At 39.2% G+C, this 19719-nt stretch overlaps 1 protein-coding gene across 24 annotated transcripts in view; it reads right to left on the bottom strand.

Annotated features, from left to right (window-relative positions):
- NR2C2 (nuclear receptor subfamily 2 group C member 2) overlaps positions 1 to 19719 on the bottom strand; it is a 101691-nt gene that overhangs the window by 54449 nt on the left and 27523 nt on the right. The window contains exon 1 of one of the 24 annotated variants that reach the window (XM_047448833.1): positions 4140 to 18199. The exons of the other annotated variants lie outside the window; for them this stretch is intronic. Coding sequence (XP_047304789.1) covers positions 4140 to 4142 — 3 coding nt within the window. The 5' untranslated portion in view covers positions 4143 to 18199. Of the gene's footprint in view, positions 1 to 4139; positions 18200 to 19719 lie in introns of those variants that run through there. 24 annotated transcript variants of the gene reach the window in all.

The following is a 19719-nucleotide window of genomic DNA, read 5'->3' as shown; positions in this document are numbered from 1 at the left end:
TCCTGTCTCAGCCTCCTGAGTAGCTGGGACTACAGGTACACTCCACCACAGCTGGCTTTTTTTTTTTTTTTTAAAGAATGAATAGGTTGGGTGTGGCAGCTCACATCTGCAGACCCAGCACTTTGGGAGGCCGAGGTTGGCGGATCATGAGGTCAACAGATTGAGACCATCCTGGCCAACATGGTGAAACCCCACCTCTACTGAAAATACAGAAATTATCTGGGCGTGGTGGTGCGCATCTGTAGTCCCAGCTACTCGGGAGTCTGAGGCAGAAGAATCGCTTAAACCCAGGAGGCAGAGGTTGCAGTGAGCTGAGATTGCACCACTGCACTCCAGCCTGGCGACAGGGTGAGACTCTGCCTCAAAAAAAAAAAAAAAAAAAAAAGAATGAATAAACAACAACAACGAATTCAACCCATGGTATAAGGGGCTGGGGTAGAGTTCATCTTTAAGGAAGAAGGTGCAGGTAATGATTGGGAGGGGGCATAAGGAGAGCTTCTGGGCTGCAGGAAATTTCTATTCTGTTCTTAACTTGGGTGGTGAGTATATAGAAATGTTTTCTCTGTGATAATTCATCATAAGCTGATGAATTTTAAACTTAGGTATGTTATACTACAATAAAAAGTTTATTTAAAATCAGTACGCAGATGAGTGGATAAAAAAACAAAAATTTAAAAACACTATTCAAAAAGTATTTCACATATCTCAGAAAGTTTTCTATGTCATTAAAACAAAGTGACAGTGGTCTATGCTTTACCGGAACCTGGTAAGCACTTACTCTGTGCCATGTTGGGGTTGTGCGCACAGGGCAACCAGATGTGGCCCTGCCTCTAAGCTGCTGTGGAGGACAAACAGTTACTGGAAAGCACAGGTTGGGCGCTGAGACTGCTGTCCCTTGGCTTTGCTACCTTGCCTGAGGTACAGTTTAAACTCCCTGGATTTTGGCTTCCTCACCTGTTCAGGGATACATCTGCAAATTTTATTTATTCCCTTGATATGAGAAGCCCAAAAGACCTTTTACCTGAGAGGGGGCATGGGTCACACTGGCAATGGGCTCCCTGTAGGCTCAGTAATAAATTTAGATTGAGTGAATAGCCCTGAGATTCAGTGAAAAGACGACTAACTCTGGAAGTGACAGGTTAAACAGAAAATGTTTGGGATCCCCTACTCCTGAAGCCATTAGAAAAAAGGTATGTTCTAGTGGCACCAGAGGCAGCTGAGATATGGTCTTGCATGAAGGCAAAGTGATGTTATGATGGGACCGCTAAGAAATTCTTGCAGTTGTATGAATTTACAGTCTGATAATTATGAATAGACATCAAGGAAGGAAATTTACTTTTTTTCCAGAAACATTTCTTTTTTTTTTTTTTGAGATGGAGTTTTGCTCCTGTCGCCCAGGCTGGAGTGCAGTGATGCAGCTTCGGCTCACTGTAACCTCCGCCTCCCAGGTTCAAGCGATTCTCCTGCCTCAGCCTCCCGAGCAGCTGGGATTACAGGCACCCACCACCATGCCCGGCTAATTTTTGTATTTTTAGTAGAGACGGGGTTTCACCATGTTGGCCAGGCTGGTGTCGAACTCCTGACCTCAGGTGATCCGCCTGTCTTGGCCTCCCAAAGGGCTAGGACTACAGACGTGAGCCACCATGCTTGGCCTTTTTTCCCAGAAATATTTTATTGAGACTCATCAGCACAGCAATAAAAAGTCAGTTTGGTAAAAAGGATATAAAAATATTAGATGCATTTCTGACTAGTTGAAGCATTTCCTTTCTATTTTTTCCTGCCCACACCTCAGTGCCTAATGTCAGTCTTGGCTTCTGCCTTATCCTATTTTCTACCCTTTCAACCTGCTCAAGTTGCAAAGGACAGGATCACTTAGTTTACACTGTATAAATGCCTGACAACACCCAGGTGTGTGTTATACCTTGGTTAGGGCATTTTACCTTGACAGGAAAACTGCCAGTCCAAAGGACTCAATTAAAACCATGGGCAAGCTGGGTGTGAAATATCTTTAGACACAGGCCTTCCAAGGCTTGGTCTCCAAACTCATACTTAGAGGGTAAAATCATCTGTTCCATTTCACATCCTTTGTAAAGGTAACCACGCTTGCAGAACACACAAATGTTTTATTAAACACTAAATAATTTAATAAAAGCCATGCTCCTCTGGCCAGCCTTTCCTGACACCCCTCAGGTTAATACAAATGCCCTCCTCTGGGTTCCCACAGTCCCTGCACCTTAGTACTCTCCACAGAACACCACATTTCCTATTTCTCTGTTTATTCCCAAGGCCAGGCACATATTAGGCCCACAATGAATGCTTAGTGAATGAACACTTAGGGAATGAATACCTTAGGGGATGAATAAGCAGTCTCTGTCTTAAGCCTTTGATCCTGGGACTCTGCCTAGACTTTGCTTTGCTTTACTCTACTCTTGTGCCTGTCTGCTAATTACACACCCTGGAGGTACAGCACAACACCTGCCCTGGCAGTTCATTATATAAACCAAGGAGTACTGGCTTCCACCGACACAGGGGGGTTTATGAGGCTGCTGAGGAAGTTCATACATCTTCACCCTGGAATGAGAACCTCCTCTATTCCATAATGGCATGACATTGCTTTGGCAGCAGGGTTTTTGTTGTTGTTGTTTTTGTTGTTTGTTTGTTTTATAAGGAAATAATTGTCAGGAAAAATTTCTGACGTTTACATGGAATCACTTGCTGAAAAATGAACATCTAGGTTGAAGAAGATGCTCACAGGCCAGGTGCAGCGGCTCATGTCTATAATCACAGCAGTTTGGGAGGGCGAGGTAGGAAGATCACTTGAGGCCAGGAGTTTGAGTACCAGCCTGGACAGCATTGCAAGACCCCATCCCTACTAAAAATTAAAAACATTATCCAGGCGTGGTGTCGCATGCCTGCAGTCCCAGCTGCTTAGGAGGCTGAGGCGGAAGGAGCACTTGAGCTCAGGAGTTTGAGGCTACAGTGACAGTAAGCTATGATGGCACCACTGTGCTCCAGCCTTTGAGATAGCAAGACCCTATCTCCAAAAAAAAAAAAAAGAAAAAGAAAAAAAAAAAAGAAAAAAGGGATTAAAAAAGAGAAAAAGATGCTCATTTCATTGAATTAAATGTGCAATATTAAGAGTTTCCAAATCTATAACTTATTCTGGATTTTGGCTACAAAAATTCTCATGGGTTACTAATAGGATAACAGAGTTACACTCTGTGAAAAAACATTGTGCAGATCTAGTGTTACAAATCTCAAACAGGAACTCAGTACTTCTCAACACTTCAGTGAAATCATGAACAATGTAAAACCCTTAAGTAGGGTAAAGGGTGTTAGGCAGGGGACACCTCCAGCTTGAACTGAAATGTACCACATACCCTCCTTTAGTTTATTTCAAAGGACCATTAAATAGTAAGTGTGTTGAAGGGCCAATGGGCAAAGAGATTAACCCCCTTTGTGCAGCAACTTGCATCAGCGAGAAGAATCCACAGGAGGCTGCTGACTTTTATGTGCAGTTCCAGTCCTCAAAGGACTGGAACCTTACAATAACAGTGTTAGTAAAGAACTACTTCTCTTGATGACATATATATCCAGCTCTTCTTTACAGTAAAGCTAATGAGGGAATGAAACCTAAATATTATAAACCAGCATCATTTATATCAGAATTCATTAGCCAGTTTTGAATTTTACAGTTGGCAATAGAGATTTTAAAAAGGTAAAACTTAGCGCTAAATTTCTTGTCACAAAAAAACAAAAATCCCAAGTCAACAACCACTCCCCACAATTATGTAAAACAATGAGATATTTAAGAGCAATATGGTTCATAAACTGTTCACAGGCAGAGTAACCTGCCAAAAACAACAAACAACTTTTGCCCCACCTGAATTTAGCCAGCATATTCAAATACAAGTTCCTATTAAGAAACGATTTGCTAAGAGCTTAGCATAGCAAGACATTAAATTGAATTTCTTCAAATATACAATAGGTGTCTAAATCCACTGCTATTATACTAACTGCTGTAAAAATAAGTGACTACTGAAATACATTGCATTACAAGGCTTCTCCCCCAGAAACACAGGGAAAGAGAATAGACTTCAATACTGCAGTCTTGTTTTCTTTAGGACACTCACACTTACCATGCCAATGGCTCCCTGCAGCTTTATTTATATTTTTCCTCAGCAACCTCCCAGGCCAAAGAGAGTCCAACCCAAAAGGCCAGAGGTTGGTTGAGGGAACTCACAGGCATTTGCTTTCAAACCCTGCCAGTGCAGATTCCATTCACCCAAACCAGACAGGGCTGTTTAAAGATGCCCTCTCTGTGACCCAGCTCTGCGGAAGGTCAAGTACACTATCACTGCCTGTAACCAAGGAAGCAAAATCGACATGTTCCTGCTGTTTTGCCAGCTGCTGAAACAGTTTGTCTAATAATATGACTAATTGCTTCTAGGGAAGATGTACTCTGCTTTACAAAGTTCTCCCTTCACCTAGATTGCTGCCACTGTTAAACTCTCTCTCCCTCCACCCCTTTCCCCTTAAAGATCACCTTTCCTCAACTGAAAGTTCACAAGAATGTTACCATGGAGTCCAACCAACTCAAAACATTTTTAAACCTACAAGGAGAGGAGGAAAGACCTGGAGAGCCCAGAAACACCATGTTCTGCATATAGCATCTTCAACCTAACGGTGCAGTAATCTAATATTCTTCTTTTTATTAAATAAAGACAAGGTCTGGCTCTGTCACTCAGGCTGCAGTGCCAGTGGTGCAATCATGGCTCACTGCAGCCTTGACCTCCTGGGCTCAAGTGATCCTCCTGCCTCAGCCTCTCAGAGTAGCCAGGACTACAGGTATGTGCCACCACACCCAGTAATTTTTTTTTTTTTTTTTTTTTTTTTTTTTGAGATGGAGTCTTGCTCTTGTCGCCCAGGCTGGAGTGCAATCTCGGCTCACTGCAACCTCCATCTCCCAGGTTCAAGCGATTCTCTTATCTCCACCTCTCGAGTAGCTGGGATTACAGGTGCCTGCCACCACACCCTGCTAATTTTGTATTTTTAGTAGAGATGGGGTTTCACCATGTTGGCCAGGCTGGTCTCAAGCTCCTGACCTCATGTGATCTGCCTCCCTCAGCTTCCCAAAGCGTTGGGATTACAGGTCGTGAGCCACCACACCCAGTCAAATTTTTTCTTTAATTTAGTTTTTGTAGACACAGGGTCTTACTATGTTGCCCAGACTGATACCTGAACTCATGTGATCCTTCCACCTGGGCCTCTCAAAGCACTGGAATTACAGGTGTGAGCTACCATGCCTGGCCCTAATATTCTTAAAGATAGGAGGTCTTTACAAGTTCCTCTTTCACTTAAAGTGTAGGCAAGAATATATGGACTGTGTTACATAGAAAAGACCCACAAGAACAACAAAACTGGGCTCATTTAACCATATCCACCCAACACGCACCGGGCACATGAATACAAGATTGAGTTCTGGACTCAGAAGCCTCCCATTCTGGCAGGAAGATACGCAAATGTAGTCAGAGCAAATGAAGAACACTGTAATAGGTCCACAGAATGACTTCAACTCTAAGTCCCACCCCTTCCCCAAAGCCACTGAGGGGAGGGAGCTCCTGAAGTCACAGTGCATTAGTGGTGAGGCTGAAACTAACACCTAGGTTCTCTGGCTTTGAGACAAGAGCACCTGCCACTAAGGCAGGCTGTAGCCCCCTGATGGACATGGGGACTCATTACTTGGTTTTTATACCTCAACAACTGATATGAAGTGAATGCTGACCAATCAGCAAAAACAAAACAAAAGCCTAGGGGAAGAGTAGGAGAAAAGAGGTATTACGGATATTTACTTTTACATAGGGTGGAGAAGGAGGCTGAAAGAAAACATTTGAGAATAAATTCACACTGCTATAAATGATGAAATTTCCACTCCACACATACAAACAGAAGTTTGCATGTGCACTAACATAAAACAATTTATGGTGAAATAAATTCACCATATGTGATGAATGGATGAATATGTCATCCATTTTCAGATTCTAGCACAAACCCAGGCACCGCTATCTAAAAGAGAAAAAAAATTAATCAAGAGGGGAAAAAAAAGAGATGATGATTCTCCTTTGACTATAAGTCCCTTCACCTCAACAACTATTTAAAGTTCTAAGAAACAAAACACTCTATTCACTAAGTGAATAAGTACAGCCAATAAATGTGCTTTACGTATGTGTAAAAGGAAAGATTAATAAAGGAAGCAAAAAGTTCCAAGACTAAACCATTGAGGTCAAGAGATCTGGTCCTTCATCATCAGAATTTGCTCCTGCCCTCTGGCCTGATAATTATACTTCTGGGAACCCACGTTATATAAATTATCCTAAATATAGAAATGGCTTTATCAGTGTGTGGTCCTAAATTATTTTTCTAGGAAATATAAGAATTCCTTCTCCCAGTGGTTTGGGTGAGGCAGTGCCTCTCTCTACCTGTAAAAACAGACAATACCAGATATTTGCAGTCCTGCTTCCCTTGGAGGAGAGCAGGGGGTCAATAAGATTCACTGGTCTGAGAGACTTGGCACTGGAAGCTGGAGGTCCATCTCCAAGCTTTGTGGTACTGGCTGTACAGCCATAGCTTCACGAGACTGGCTCTGCAGTGTGATTCTGGGTGTTGTTCCAAGCTGCAGAGCTACTTCTCCAGTTCTTCCACTGTAAAGTTTACCTGTCTGTCTATATATACATCTGTCTGTCCATCTGTGCATCTTTTCATCCTCACATGAATATACTATTAATTTATAATACAGAAAGATCAAAAGCAATTTATATGTCCCAAACTAGGAGACGGGTTAGTAAATTATGCTATGTTTCCGGGATACAGAAAAATAATGATCAAAGCAGGTTATGTGGCAACCTGGGGAAAAGATGATATTTATTCTGTGTAATAACATTTTATAAAAACACAAGACACAAAGTTATATGCACACTGTGATTACAACCAGATGATATGCACGTGAGAAAAGAGCAAAAGATTTATTCATTCAATAAACGTATCTTGATTGCTCACTGTGTTCCAGGCACTGTATTTCAGGCACTGGGAACACAACAGCAAATGAAATAAAGTTCTGGTCTTCCTGGAATCTACATTCTAATGTGATAAACAAATTAAGTATATATGTTTGTAGATAATGAGAAGCATTATGGAGGAAGACAAGTACGAGTAAGGAGATTAAGAAGTGACAGAGGTAGAGGTGGAAATGACTATTTTTACATAGTGTGGTAATAAAGAAATTAACAACTTTTATAATTAAAAAAAACTTTCAAATACAAGGCTACCTTTTAAAACCAGCAAATATTGCTAGAAATTAGCAGTATGAATGATCTTATTTTCTACCCCACATCTGAAATTACTGGTGTTCTTCATATTTTTCTTCACTTTTAAAAGAAAAACTTGGCAGGGCATGGTGGCTCATACCTCTAATCCCAGCACTCTGCGAGGCCAAGGCGGAAGGATTGCTTACGCCCCGGAGTTCAAGACCATCCTGGGTAACACAGAGAGACCTCATCTCTACAAAAAATAAAAAAACCAGCTGGGTGTGGTGGCATGTGCCTGCAGTCCCAGCTACTTGGGAGGCTGAGGTGGGAGGATTGCTTGAGCCCAGGAGATTGAAATTGCAGTGAGCTGTGTTCCTGCCACTGGACTCCAGCCTGGGTGGCAGAGTGAGAATCTGCCTCAAATAAAATAAAAAATAAATAAAAACTCTTCTTACCCATCTAAGAAATAACACAGAAACTTTTTTTCTTGGTAAAATGAGGTATAAAAGTCTACTGTGAAACATAATTATCAGTCTCCTTGCCTATTAATTGCTACTAAAGATTTAAAAAAACTAGGCTGCTTCTGCAATTACAAAGCTAACCTGAATCATCCTGGTGGGCAGCTGATTACATGGAAACACACTACACTTAGAATTACGTTCACGTTTGGGTGGCACTCCTATTAACAATTTCCCTGAAGAAATCAAGTGCAATGCTCAACCTGTGACCCTGAATAAGATGTTATCTTCTCCCATAGCAGATGCTAATTTTTGATTTTTTATTCTGGTAGACAAAATGCTTTCATTTTCTAATTCTCTATTTTCTGTGACCAATAAAAGGATATGCTTTCCAAGGTCTTTTTTAAAGTATCAGACACTAAAGGTATACCTCAGACACAGATTTCAAGAAAGGAGATGTTCTCTATGACAGAATGTCATTACTCTGTGGCAAGACATACCGTAAGAAATCATTTTGGCACAACACTTCCACATAAGGTATGGATCTTTTGCAAGGACATCATCCTTCCTCAATTTTCTCCTTCTTAATAACTCCTCCTGTCAACCGTTTTTATCATAAGTAAGTCTAGTCTCACTTATTCTAACATTAATTCCATTTAACATTTATTCCAGCTGACTCTACATTTCATCTACAAAACAATTGTATCTTCTTAGTACCCTTATTTAAGTATGTACTTACTTAAGAAGTATGTGACTTGTCATATCATCTTTGGTAGTTATTCCTAAGCATTTACATGAAATACACATTATTTCATAATAGGCTGCTTTCCTTTTATTTCTCCTGAATATAATTATTATTATATATTGATTTTTGTAAGTTATTTGCATATGAATGCTTTTATTTTCTATGAGTATCACCTTGGTACAGTAAAAGGGTCTTTAAAAAAATACTGTTTAAAAAGGGGGCACTGAGTCTGAAGGAATTGGAAACCCCTAAGAGGAAGGTTCTCACAGTATGTACTCGATGCATACCTGCTGAATTAATAACTGATCTAGTTAATGGTGCTACTTCTTGCATATGAAGTTATGTGACTGTTAAAAAACTGTTGGGAAAAAAAAGAAAAACCCTTAGAAGACACACTTTGACCCAGATAGCTTTTAATTTCAAATTCTACTTCTAGTCTACAGAGATACTCCCACATATGAGCCCAAGGAGGCATATATAAAGATGTCCATCACTGTACTATTTATGCTTGAGAAAATCTGGAAAAAACTTAAATGTGCATCTAATTGGAAAATACTTCAATGTGCAAACTTAAATGCACATCTTAGAGGAGTAGCTAAATAAATATAGCTCTAATCTATAAAATATGAGAGTAAAAAGGAATTATGTGTATCTCTAAATCTGAGACAGTTAAAAGAATCAGCTTTCAGAACATCATAACCAGTGTGATTCCATTTAGTTTAAATTTTAAAAACCTATATATTTCTATAGCTACATAAACATGGATGTAAATACTTAACAAAAATTCTGGAAGAAAACATAAACTAAAAATAAATTAAGCCAATTTCAAAGAATCAGTATCATAAAGATCAGATCCTCTGATTACATTGTGATTAAATTAAAACGTAACAAAAAGGTAATCACAGATGTAAAACCTAGAGCTATAAAACTTTTAGTGAAAACACAGGAGAAAAATGTGACCTTGGATTAGGCGAAGATTTTAAAATATGACATTAAAAGCATGATTCATAAAAATTTAAAACAACCACTATCAAAATAAAAAAATCTATTCTTCAAGAGACTCTGCCAAGATAATGAAAATATAAGCCATAGATTGGGAGAAAAACATTTGCAAACCATATAGCTCATACAGGACATGTATCTTATCCAGAATATATAAAGAACTCCCAAAACTCAAGAAAAGAAATAACTCAATTTTAATAATAGGCAAAAGATTTGATAAAACACTTCATCAAAGATGATGTATGGATGGCAAATAATCACATGAAAAGATGTTCAACATTATTAGTCATCAGAGAAATGCAAATTAAAATTACAATTAAGAGCTAGTACACATCTATTAGAATGCCTAAGAGTAAAAAGACTGACAATATTAAGAGTTGGCAAGGATGTAGGGCAACTAGAACTCTCCTGCACTGCAAGCAGGAATATGAACTCATACAATGACTTTGGAAAACAATTTGGCAGTCTCTTTAAAAAAAAAAACCACCATATGATCCAGCAATTCCACTCCTAGCTATCTACCCAAGAAAAAGAAAAGCATATGTTCTCACAAAGACATACACAAATGTTCACAGCAACTTTAGTTGTAATAGTCAAAAACTGGAAGTAACCCAAATGTCCATCAACAGGTGAATGGATTAAGCATATCTATACAATGGATACAACGTAAAAAGGAATTAAATACTGATATATGCAACAATACGGATGAGTCTCAAATAACTTCGCTAAATGAAAGAAGCAAGACAAAAAAAGTGGACACATGATTTCTTTAATAGAAAATTCTAGAAAACGCAAATCCATCTAAAACAATTAGAAGATCAGTGGTTGCCTAGGGATAGATGTGGCTAGAGCTATACTCAGAAGACAATATACAGCCTAATGCTTATATTAGAAAAGAAGAAAGGCTGAGATATCAATAAGCTGAGTATCTATCCTAAAAATTTATAAAAAGAATAGCAAAATAGGTGCAAAGAAAGTAGAAGGAAGAAAATAATAAAGACAAATTAATCAGTGATAAAACAACTCTGGTGAAAATGACCAGGGAAAAAAAGAGAGATGACAAATAATACTAGGATTGCAAAGGAGACTATAACTGGAGATACTTCAAACATTAAAAATAGAAAACAAGGCCAGGCATGGTGGCTCACGCCTGTAATCCCAGCACTTTGGGAGGCTGAGGCAGGTGGATCACCTGAGGTCGGGAGTTCGAGACCAGCCTGACCAACATGGAGAAATCCCATCTCTACTAAAAATACAAAATTAGCCAGGCGTGGTGGCTCATGCCTGTAATCCCAGCTACTCGGGAGGCTGAGGCAGGAGAACTGCTTGAACCCGGGAGGTGGAGGTTGCAGTGAGCCAAGATCGCGCCATTGCACTCCAACCTTGGCAACAGGAGTGAAACTCCATCTCAAAAATAAAAAAATATAATAATAAAAAAATACAAAACAAGGATGTTCTAAAAACTAGATGCCAATAAATTTGAAAACTCAGACAAAATGAACAAATTCTTTGAAGAAGGTACAACTTATTAAAACTGAGTCAATCACAACTAAAAAATCCGAATAGTCTTAACCATTAAAGAAATTCTATCAGTAGTTAAAAATTTTTCCAGGCACCAACAGTTTTACTGGTGTGTTCTATAAGCATTTAAGGACCAAATAATTCTCATTTTATATACATTATTATAGGAGGGAGGAGAAAAGGGAACCTTCTCCCAACTCATTTTATGAGGCTAGCATAAATTTAAGAAAAATTAAAAGTTAATCTCACTCATGAACACAGATGCAAAATCCCTAAACAAAATGTTAGCAAACTAAGAATGTGTGTGTGTGTGTGTGTGTGTGTGTGTGTGTATAAAGAGTATAATCCAGATTAACCTATCAAGTTGAGATTAACTGCAGAATACAAGATGGGTTTAATATTACAAAGTCAAGCTAATTCACATTACCTGATCAAAAAAGAGAAATCATATGATCATCTCAGATCATAAAAAAAAAGAGCATCTGACAATCGAACTCATGGAGATAGAGAATGGAATGATGGTTATCCGAGGCTAGGAAGGGTAGTGGCGGGGATGGTTAATGGGTACAAAATATAGTTAGATACAATAAATAAGATCTAATATTTGATAGCACTACAGCGTAATTACAGTCCGCAATAAGTTGTACATTTCAGTATAACTGAGGGAGTACAACTGGAATGTTCATAACACAAAGAAATGATGAATGCTTGAGGTAATGGATATCCCATTTACCCTGATGTAATTATTATGCATTGTATACTTGTACCAAAATATCTCATGCACCCTACAAATATATACACCTACTATGTATTCACAAAATTAAAAATTAAAAAAATTTTTAAAAATAGCATTTGATAAAATTCAGTATTTGCTGAATATAACAACTTTTATTCCAATGTCCTTAATCGAATAAAGGCTCATAGCAAATTGTTGAAATCATTCCTTTTAAGATGAGGAACAAGGCAAGGATGCCTGCTATCAACACTTCCATTCAACACTGTACTGGAGCTCTCTGCCAGAATAAGTCAAGACAAAAACATAAGGATTAGAAAGAAAAAGATAAGACTGTCATTAAATCATAGATAACATAAAAATCTAAATGAATTTATTAGAATTCGTAAGAGCAAGATTGTTAAAAAAATCTATAAACAAAATCATTTACATTTCTATATACCAGTGAGAGAAAATAAAATTTCAATAAGATATTTATAAATAGCATCATAGAACATAAAACATTGGGAAATAAAGACGTGCTTAATTTTTGCAGAAAAAAAATCAAAGAAAACTTAAATAAATTGAAAGATTTTCCATGATGGATCGGAAGACTCAATATGATGAAGAGATCAACTCTCTCTAAATTGATTCATTTAAGTATTTGCAATTCCAACTCTGAAAAGTCAGCAGTCAGCAGGTTTTTGTTTCCATATGTGTATAACCCTAACAAGCTAATTTAAAAATTTAGAATGGGCACAGTGGCTCACAACTGCTTGAGCCCAGGAGTTGCAGACCACTCTGGGCAACATAGCAAGAACCCATCTCTACAATACTAAGTAAGTAAATAAATAGCTGGGTATGGTGGCGCACACCTGTAGTCCTAGCTACTTGGAAGGGTGAGGTGGAAGGACTGCTTGAGCCCAAGAGTGAGGCTGCAGTGAGCTACAACCCTGTCGTTGTACTATAGCCTGGGCGACAGTGTGATGTTGATATTAAGTGTCAACCTGATTGGACTGAAGGATGTAAAGTATTATTCCTGGGTGTGTTTGTGAGGGTGTTGCCAAACGAGATTAACATTTGAGTCAGTGGACTAGGAGAGGCAGACCCACCCTCAATCTGAGAAAGCACCATCTAGTTAGCTGCCAGCCCAGCTAGGATAAAAGCGTACAGAGGAACATGGAAGGACTAGACTGCCTATGTCTTCTGGCCTCCATCTTTCTCCTGTGCTGGATGCTTCCTGCCCTCGAACATCGAACTCCAAGTTTTTCAGCTTTCAGACTCTTGGACCTATACCAGTGGCCTGCCAGGGGCTCTCAGGCCTTTGGCCACCGACTGAAGGCTGCACTGTTGGCCTCCCTACTTTTGAGGACTTGGGACTCGGACTGACTTCCTTGCTCCTCAGCTTGCAGATGGCCTACTGTGGGACTTCACCTTGTGATCATGTGAATCAATACTCTTTTTTTTTTTTTTTTTTTTTGAGACAGAGCCTCGCTCTGTCGCCCAGGATGGAGTGCAGTGGCGGGATCTCGGCTAACTGCAAGCTCCACCTCCTGGGTTCATGCCATTCTCCTGCCTCAGTCTCCCACGTAGCTGGGAGTACAGGCGCCCACCACCACACCTGGCTAATTTTTTGTATTTTTAGCAGAGATGGGATTTCACCGTGTTAGCCAGGGTGGTCTTGATCTCCTGACCTTGTGATCCACTCGCCTTGGCCTTCCAAAGTGCTGGGATTACAGGCGTGAGGCACCGCGCCCGGCCTAACTTTTTAATATTTTCATAGAGACAAGGTTTCACCATATTGTCCGGTCTGGTCTTGAACTTCTGGGCTCAGGATATCCGTCTGCCTCAGCCTCCCAAAGTGCTGCGATTACAGGTGTGAGCCATTGCACCCTGTGGCTTTATGTTAAGACTAAATAGGATGATATATGTACAGTGTTTAGCAGTGCCAAGGCACAAAGTTTAATAGCTATTATTGTTACTATGGTATGATCTGTTGCAAAGTTAGTTCTGCAACGTGAATTTGATTCTATAAAATTGTCAATAGAGACCTGATGCCAGTGTAACAGTAGAAATCAGTCTGATTCACAGGTGATAGCTCCCAATTCCTTAATGCTTTGTATCACTAAGTAACAGCCACAGAATGCAAAGTATACTGGCCAGAAAGCTACAGGGAACCGTGTCACACATGATGCCTATTCAACCAGGTTCTTCCTCTTTTCTCAGTCTGGCCGTGTGCTGTCTTGAAAATGCTCATTGCATGGTTCCCCTCTATCTTTATGCATTTCTCCCAAAGCTTTATCCATTTATGCAATTACTCAGCATCGTTAACCTTTCTTCACAACCCCTGCCATAAAGCTACCTTCACTTCATTTTTAAGATGAAATCCTGTATTTACTCTGTTTATTAGGAATTTAACATGTTTTGTTAACTAGGTATTTAACTAGTATTTTTATTAGGACTGTTATTATTTTTGTTAGTTCTCTGGTCTATTCCAAGCCCCATTTTTCCATGTGGCTTTCTTATTTTTAGTGGGTAGAAGTACGAGACTTTTCAGAAATACATGTATCACATAATAGTAGAAGCACTTGCTTTCCCATTCTTAAGAGTAAGAATTTTAGGCTGGGCACGACAGCTCACACCTATAATCCTAACACTTTGGGAGGCCGAGGCAGGAGAATGGCTTGAGGCCAGGAGTTTGAGAGCAGCCTGTACAACATAGTGAGTTCCTGTCTCTACCAAAAAAACATTTTTTTTTTTTTTTTAATTAGCTGGGTCATGGTGCACACCTGTAATCCTAGCTCCTTGGAAGGCTGAGGCGGGAGGACTGCTTGAGCCCAGCAGTTCAAGGTTACAGTGAGCTGTGATCACACCTCTGCTCTTCAGCCTAGGTGACAGAGTGAGACCCTGTTCCCTAACACCCCCAACCCCAATGCCGGAAAAGAGTAGGAATCTTAACAACTCAGCCCATGAGGTATAAAACCAAGGAAGCCAGAGTTCACGTAGTATATAATATGGCCACCTAAGGAAATTCTACAGTGGGGACTACGGGTGGCAATGGTTTTAAAATAGGGAGCAACCCCAAATTTGCCCACCATCAAGGAAGAGAGCTTGGTCTGTCAGGGCAGGAACTGACTGTGGCAGTTTACATTATCGGTAGGCTTGTGATTCAACCCCCAAAGATAGGTCATTCTCTTGCTGAAAACTCTCCAATACCTCCCCAAAATATATTTTATGTGAAATAAAATACAAACTCTTGACCATGGCCTATAATACCCAGAATGATCTGGCCGCACCTCCCACTCTGACCTCATCTCCTATGACCTTCTTCCTCCCTCCCTCCCTGCACTGCTGCCACACAGGACTCTTCATTATTCCTTTATTGTACCAAGCATGCTCCTCCACTTCTTCCCTGTCTGGAGTGTTCCCCACCTCTGTAACCCCCAACCCCCAGACACTCACGCAAATAATTCTCTCACTTCATTCAGGTTTCTGTTTAAATGTTGCCCTCAGAAAAAAATCTCCCTGAATGTGCTTAGACAGTAATTCCTGTCACTTTTGATCCCTTCCCTTTTCTTTATAGCATTTACTGCTCTCTTCACATTTTATTTTTGTTTAGCTGTTTATTGTCTGTTTCCTGATAGAATAAAAGCTTCATGCGAACAGAATATTTATCTTGAAAACTATAACAATGCCTAGTACACAGTAAGCACTCCTTAAACAGTTGCTGAATGGATACATTAATGAAATATTTCTGGAATACCTTGCAGTCCATCAATGAACAATTTCAATTTGGTTTACTAATAGTAATACTTTCCCTGAATTCCAGTTAAGTACAGAAAATACTCACGCATTTATCTCTATCCCTTTACCAAGCCACCTTAAACAATGAGTAAAGGAACAAAAACAAAAATGTACAAACCCACAAAGACAAAAAGAATAGTCAAGGAGATATAGTGGATCACAGATGCTGACATACTTTTGGAGGACAGAAAGCAGATGATGAAGTGGAAACTAATTTAGGAAAATGGACAAAGCCCCAAATGACTATGGGGGGATATTAATGAGAAGCAAGCTAATTTTCACCCCAGAACCTTGGAAAGGCTCAGCCCCTGGTCCCACAGAAACCTGGGTTGAGAAGCAGGCCCTAAACCAGAGGACTGGTTGAATGTGGTACAGCCAGGTAAACTCACCATCACCACCACCTCTCATATCACTGCAGAAAAAAGGAGGTATAGTCTGTGGATAACTTGAACCAAAGAGTGAACCAAAGAGGTCCCAGACCCTGAGACATCAAACACATCTTCATATGAAGGAGGGCGGCCCTGTTCTTCGGTTTTCACAGAAGTAAACCAAGTGAAAGTATCGGTATTGCAAAGTGAACCTCCAACCCCCATGCTGCCAACCCTATCCCCTGTGCCATAGTTTTAAAACAAGCAAGGACAAAAAGACTGGCAACAAGACATGTGGTACCCTGCAGATAGGAAACTGAAGAATTTTTGCTGGAAAAAACTGAATAGGTTTCCAGAAAGGAAACCTATGGACGAACAGTCCTCAACTTACAATGGTTCAACTTACTTTATGATGGTACAAAAGCAATACACATTCAGTAGAAACAGTGCTTTAAATACCTAGATGACCATTCTGTTTTTGACTTTCAGAACAGTATTTAATACTAGCATGCTACATGAGATATTCAAGTTTATTATAAAATAGGCTTTGTGTTACATGATTTTGCCCAACTGTAGGCTAATATAAGTGTTCTGAGCATGTTTAAGGTATGTTCGACTAAGCTATGAGGTTCTGTAGGTTAGGTGCATTCAACAGATTTTCAAGCTATAATGAGTTTATTGGGGCACAACCCCACTGCAAGTTAAGGAACATTTGTACTGAAGCTTACGGTGTGGGTGCTTATCCAATCAATCCACAGTAAAATCAAGCTAGCTGATGAGGCTTACACATGTACAAAAACACTTTTTTGGGGTTTTTGTTTTCAGTTTTAAGTCCTTCATTCTTTTTTTTTAATATTTTTATTTCTTGTGTCACCCAGGCTGTAGTGCAATGGCATGATCATATTTCCCTGCAGCTGAGCTGAAGTCTGTTCTTCTTCTTCTTCTTCTTTTTTTTTTTTTTTGAGGCAGAGTCTCACTCTGTCACTCAGGCTGGAGTGCAGTGGTACAATCTCAGCCTCCCGGGTTCAAGCAATTCTTGTGCCTCAGCCTTCTGAGTAGCTGGGACTACAGGCACACACCACCATGCCCAGCTAATATTTTGTATTTTAGTAGAGACGGGGTTTCGCCATGTTGCCCAGGCTGGTTTTGAACTCCTGAGTTCAGGCAATCCGCCCGCCTCGGCCTCCCAAAGTGCTAGGATTATATGCATGAGCCATTTTGCCCGGCTACATTACTCTTAAATATGGACCAACAATGAGGATCATTAGCCATTTGAGGAAAGCTTCCATAGGAAAGAAAGGAACTAAAAGAAACAAAAATGAATTTGGATAAAAGCAACTATGTAAGAAAGAAGAAAACTAAACAGAATAAAAAACTGCAATTAACACTCAAAGAGAATTACAACAAGCTACTGTACCCATGAAGAAAAAGTTGCTATAAAAATAGAGGGAGAAAGAGTTCCCAAAATTAAAAATAAGATATCAAAAATGAAAATAAAATTGAAGAAGCAATAACAGCCAGAGCTGAAAGCCATCTGCCACAATGTATTACTTTCTATGTGCTATGCTTTACATGCAGTAAGTCATTTAATTCTCACAATAATCCTCTAAAATGAGTTCAATAATTAATCCTACAGTTGGAGAAACTAGCAAAAGACATTAAGTAACATACTCAAGCACTAGTCAGTGATGAAGACAGATTCTAAGTCAGGAAATCTCACTAAAAGTAGAAGCTGGAGGCAGATGGAAACACAAGAGAAAACGAGAGGAAATGAAAGGATTAGTTCAAGAGACCCAAAATCCAACTAATTAGTTGTTCTGAAAAGAGACTAGAAAAAAACTGAGGGAAGAAATTATCTAAGAACTAGCATAAAACAATTTCCCAGAACAGGAGGACATGAACTTTGACTGAAAGAACCCTCTGAGTGCACGGTATCATTTATGAAAAAATATATATACTACAGGACATGACTGTATATTTCAGAACAGAATAGAAAAGATCTTAACAACCAGATTGGGAGGGAGAGGAAGAGAGGTCACCCATGTAGATAAGGAATGACAGTGGCACTGACTATTATACACAAAAGCAACACTAGAAAATGGAAGACAATAAAATGATGCCTTCAAAATTCTGAGGTAAAATTATTTTCAACTTAGATTTCTATTCCTCATCAAACTATCAATTAGCCATGTAATGTAAATGAAAATATGTTCAGACATATAAGATTTTTGAAAATCACCTCTGATGCACCCTTTCCTAGGAAGCTAATACAGCATGCTGTCCATCAAAAAAAAAAAAAAAAAAAAAAGGAAGGAAGGAAGACAGACTCAAGAAAACAAAGACTCCAAACAAGAGAGAAGTAAAGGATGACAGCTGTGCACAGTAAGTTCAAAGAGCAATCAGTAGGGACTACAGCAGGAGGTCAGAGGCTTTTAGAAGGAATGTTTTCACAGGAAAAAAAGGAAACTAAAAATGCTTCTGATTTGAATAGAAAATAGTATCTGGAGAGTTTTACAACTATGTTGGAGACACTAGGAAGTATCTGTAATAGTATCATAATTATATAACCAGAACACCGATTTATACAAACAGGATATAATTTTATTGGGAGGGAAGAGATGTGGGAGTATATGGCACTGAACGAACACTAAAGTCTCTTCATCTAATGGGAATAAAAGTGGGGGCATTATTACAAATGTTAACAGAAATAAGAAAAGATTATAAACTAGTACTATGAACAATTACACACTGACACACTGGATAACCTAGATGAAACGGACAAATTCTCAGAAACACACAACCTACCAGGACTGCATCATGAAGGAACAGAAAATCTGGACTGGGTGTGGTGGCTCATGCCTGTAATCCCAGCACTTTGGAAGGTGGAGGTGGGAAGATTGCCTGAGCCCAGGAGTTCGAGGTCAGCCCGGGCAACATGGCGAAACCCTGTCTCTAAAGAAATAAAATAAAATAAAAATTATATTTTTTAAAAAAGAAACAAAATCCAAATAGACCTATAACCAGTAAGAAGATAGAATAAGTAATCAAAAACTTTCCAAAAAAGGAAAGTCCTGGACCACATGGCTTCACTGCTAAATTCTACCAAGCATTTAAAGAAGAATTAACATCAATCCTTCTTAAACTCTTCTAGAAACACTGAAGAGGTGGGAACATTTCCAAACTCCCATGAGGCCAGTATTATCACACTGATACCAAAGCCAAAGACACCAAAAGAAAACTATAAATTATTCTCTTCCCTGTGGACAATGGTGCAAAAATCCTCAACAAAATACTAGCAAACTGAATTCAGCAGCATATTAAAAAATACAAACCATTACCAAGAGAGGTTTGTCCAAGAAATGCAAGAGTGGTTCAACATATGAAAACTGATCAATGTAACGTACCTCTCATTAAAAGAATGAACGGAAAAAAACACATCATCCTCTGAACTGATGGAAAAAAGCACTTGACAAAATTCAATAGCCTTTCATGATTAAAACACGTAACAAAATAGGAATAGAAGGAAATTACCTCAACATAATAAAGGTCACATATGAAAACCACCTGTTTCATCAATGAAACACTCATTGATAGAAGACTGAATACTTTTCCTCTAAGATAAGGAACAAGACAAGAATGGCTACTTTTGCCACTTGTACTAGAAGTCCTAGCCAGGGCAATTAGTCAAGAAAAATAAAAGGCATCCATAGAGGAAAGAAAGAAGTAAAATTATCCCTCATTCACAGACGACAGAACCTTATATGTACAACTCTAAAGATGACCAAAAAACTTTTAGAATAAAACA

Source organism: Homo sapiens, chromosome 3 (assembly GCF_000001405.40).
Source record: "Homo sapiens chromosome 3, GRCh38.p14 Primary Assembly".
NCBI classification, from domain to species: domain Eukaryota; kingdom Metazoa; phylum Chordata; class Mammalia; order Primates; family Hominidae; genus Homo; species Homo sapiens.
The sequence above is the reverse complement of the archived record's forward strand: the minus strand, read 5'-3'. Positions and strand labels throughout refer to the sequence as shown.